Source organism: Homo sapiens, chromosome X (genome assembly GCF_000001405.40).
Source record: "Homo sapiens chromosome X, GRCh38.p14 Primary Assembly".
Lineage (NCBI taxonomy): Eukaryota > Metazoa > Chordata > Mammalia > Primates > Hominidae > Homo > Homo sapiens.
The window spans coordinates 82682905-82687444 of record NC_000023.11 but is presented as its reverse complement, the minus strand read 5'-3'; positions in this window follow the sequence as shown (position 1 = coordinate 82687444).

Below are 4540 nucleotides of genomic sequence, written 5' to 3'. Positions count from 1 at the left end.
AACAAAATGAAAACACAGAACACCAAAACAAAAACTTGTAGAAAGTAGCAAAACCAGTTCTAAGAGGGAGGTGATTCTCAATAAGGACCTACTTTAAGTAAAAACAAACATATCAAATAAAGAACCTCACATTGTACCTCAAGGCACTACCAAAAAAGTAAGAGCAAATTTAACAGAAAATGAAGGAAATAAAAAGACCAACAAACAAATAAAATAGAAACTAGAAAAACGATAGAAAAGATTAACAGGGGGAGGTGTCAAGATGGCCAACTAGAACAGCTGTGCTTGGAGGCTCCCACAGAGAACAAAAACAGCTGGTGAATCCTGCACCAGCAACTGAGGTATCCAGGCTCTCTCACTGGGATTGACTAGACAGAGTTAGTGCAAACCATGGAGACCAAGGAAATGCAGGGTGGTATAATGGCCCACTTGGGAGACACATGGAGCAAGGGGATCTCCCACCCCTAGCCAAGGGTGGCAGTGAGTGATTGTGCTATGCTGCCTGGAAGATCACACTATTTTCATGGATCCATGCAACCCAGAGATCAGGAGATCCCCCTTGTGAGCCCATGCAAAGAGCCTTGGATCCCAAGCACAGAGCTGGGCAGGTTCTCAGTGGCCACTCAGTTGGAGACTGCCTAAGACTACTGAGCTCCTGGGGGAGGGGAAGCCATCATTACTGTGGCTGCCTGCTGCCTAAGATGACTTTGCTTCTGGGGGAAGGGGCAGTGGCCATCACTGCAGCTCCAGTCTGCTGTTTTTTCCTGCTGGTGCCAGGAAGATAGACACTTTGGATCCAGGAGGAATTCTCCATAATGTAGCACAGTGGTTGTGGCAGATTGTGGCCAGACTGCCTCTTTAGGACAGACCCTGGCTCATCCCTCCTCACTGGAGGGGCCTCCCTGGAGAAATTTCAGCAACTACAGCCAGGGATTTCAGTACAGAACTCTAACCTCAATGAGACTGAGTCCCTGGGGGAGGGGTGGCTGCAGTCTCCAGAGATCACCATACTTAGTCTTTCCCCCTGCTGGCTCTGATTAATCTGGGCAGTCCAGATGAGTGGGGCTCCCCACAGCACAGTGCAACCCCTCCTCCGAGGGGCAGCCAGAGTGCTTTGTTAAGTGGATCCCAGATCCTGTGCCTCCTGACAGGGTGCCTCTCAGGAGGGGTTGCTGGACACCTTATACAGGAGCATTTCCAATGGCATCGGGTCAGTGCCCCTCTGAAATAGAGACCCCAGAGGAAGGAGCAGGTGGCCATCTTTGCTGTTCTGCAGCCTCCACTGCTGATACCTCCAGGGGCAGGAGGGATCCAGGCAAATTGAATCTGGAGTGGACCCCCAGCAAACTGTAGCAGCCCTAAAGAAGAGGGGCCTGTTAAAAGAAAAACAAACAAACAGAAAGCAACAACAGCATCAACAAAAAGTCCCCACAAAAACTCCATCCAAACATCAGCAGCATCAAAGATTGAAGCTAGATAAACTTGCAAACTGAGAAAGATTCATCAAAAAAATGCTGAAAACTCAAAAAGTTGGAGTGCTTCTTCTCTTCCAAATGTTTGCGACACCTCTCCAGCAAAGGCACATAACTGGTTCAAGGCAGTGATGTATGAATTGACAGAAGTAGGCTTCAAAAAGTGGGTAATAATGGACTTTGCTTAGCTAAAGGAGCATGTTCTAATCCAATGCAAAGAAGTTAAGAACCATGGAAGAACATTACAAGAGCTGTCAACCAGAGTAACCAGTTTAGAGAGGAACATAAACAATCTGATGGAGCTGAAAAATACAACATGAGAACTTCACGGTGCAACCACAAATATTAATAACTAAATAGACCAAGCAGAGGAAAGAATTTCTGAGCTTGATAACTATCTTGCTGAAATAAGACAGGCAGATATGATTAGAAAAGAAAGAATGAAAGGGAACAAACAAAGCCTCCAAGAGCTATGAAATTATGTAAAAAGACTGAACCTATGTCTAATGGAGATACCTAAAAGAGACTGGGAGAATGGAACCAAGCTGGAAAACATACTTCAGGATGTCATCCAGGAGAAGTTTCTCAACCTAACAAGACAGGCCAACATTCAAATTCAAGAAATCCGGAGAATCCCAGTAAGATATTCCATGAGAAGATCAACCATAAGAAACATCATCGGGTTCTCCAAGGTTGAAATGAAGTAAAAAATATTAAGGGCAGCCAGAGAGAAAGGCCAGGTCACCTACAAAGAGAAACCCATCAGACTAACAGTGACCCTCTCAGCAGAAACCCTACGAGCCAGAAGAGATTGGGGGCCAATATTCAACATTCTTAAAGAAAAGAATTTCCAACCCAGAATTTCATATCTGGCCTAACTAAGCTTCATAAGAGAAGGAGAAATAAAATACTTTTCTGACAAGCAAATGCTTAGGGAATTCACCACCACGAGGCCTGCCTTACAAGAGGTCTTGAAGGAAGCACTATATATGGAAAGGAAAAACCATTACCAACCACTACAAAAACACACTGAAGTACAAATACTAATAACATTATGAAACAACTACATCAAAAAGTTTGAAAAGTAACCAGGTAGCATCATGCTGACAGGATTGAATTCACACATAACAATATTAACTTTAAATGTAAATGGGCTAAATGTACCAATTCAAAGACACAGAATGGAAGCTCGACAAAGAGTCAAGACCTACTGGTGTGCTGTATTCAAGAAACCCATCTCATGTGCAAAGACACACATAGGCTCAAAATAAAAAGGTGGAGGAAAATTTACCAAGCAAATGGAAAGCAGAACAAAGCAGGGGTTGCAATCTTATTTTCTGACAAAACAGACTTTAAGCCAACAAAGATCAAAAAAGAAAAAAAAAAGGACATTACATAATGGCAAAAGGATCAATTCAACAAGAAAAGCTAATTATCCTAAATAATTATGGACCCAACACAGGAGCACCCAGATTCATAAAACAAGTTCCTTAGAGACCTACAAAGAGACTTAGACTCCCACACAATAATAGTGGAAGACTTTAACACCTCATCATCAATATTAGACAGATCATAAAGACAGAAAATTAACAAGGATATTCAGGACTTGAACTCAGCACTGGATCAAGTGGACCTGATAATTATCTACAGAACTCTTCACCCAGAAACAACAGAATACACATTATTTTTGGCGCCACATGGCACTTTAAGATCAATCACGTAATTGGAAGTAAAACACTCCTCAGGAATCGCAAAATAACTGAAATCATAACAGGCTCTCAGACAACAACACAATCTAATTAGAATTCAAGATTAAGAAACTCACTCAAAACCACACAACTACATGGAAACTGAAAAACTTGCTCCTTAATAACTCCTGGGTAAATAATGAAATTAAGGTAGAAATCAAGATGTTCTTTGAAACCAATAAGAACAAAAAGGCAATGTACCAGAATCTTCGAGATGCAGCTTAAGCAGTTAATTTTTAAGAAGTCAAATCATCTCTGTAAACAGATGTCATATATATATATATATATATATATATATATATATATTATATATAATCAGACTCAACTAAAAAACTGTTAGAACTAATAAATGCAGTAAAGTTATATGACACATAACTAACATACAAGATACAGTTGCATTTCTATACATTAACAATAAACCATACACAAAATTAAAAGAACAATTCCCCTTTAATAGCATTGGGAGAATAAAATGTTTAGAAAAAAATTTAACCAAGGACATACAAGATCTGTACTCTGAAAACTAAGATATTAATAAGGAAAATTGAAGAAGACATAAATAAATGGAAGGATGTCTTGTGTTAATGGATTGGAATAATTAATAATGTTAAAATTGTTATGCTATCCAACAGAATCTATAGGTTTAATACAATCCTTATCAAAATTTTAACGACAATTTTTACATACAGTAAAACTGCACTAAATTTAGTATGGAATCACGAAAGACCAAAACAGCTAGAGCAATCTTGAAGAGGAATAACAATGTTGGAAGGATCACACTACTTGATTTCTAAATATAATATAAAGTTATAATAATCAGAACACAATGGTACTGGCATAAAAACAAGCATATAAACCAATGGAACTGAATAAAGAGTGAAGAAATAAATCCACACAATTATCAACAACTGATATTTGACAAAGTTACCAAGAACACACAATGGGGAAAAAAGTATCTCTTCAATAAATGGTGTTTGGCAAACTGAGTATCCACATACAGAAAAATGAAATTAGAATCTTATTTTATACCATTCACAAAAATTAACTGTATCAAAGGCTTAAGCATACAACTTAAAACTACAAAAACCAAAGTATAGGGAGAAAGCTTATTGACATTTAACTGGGCAATTATTGTTTGAATATGACACCAAAAACACAGGCATCAAAAGCTAAAATAGACAAATGAGACTGCATCAAACTAAAAAGCTTATGCACGGAAAAAAAGTCAATCAGCAGAGTGAAAAGAAACCTACAGAATGGGATAATATGTTGTCAAACCATACATATGATAAGGGGTTAATATAAAAAAAGTAAAGATCT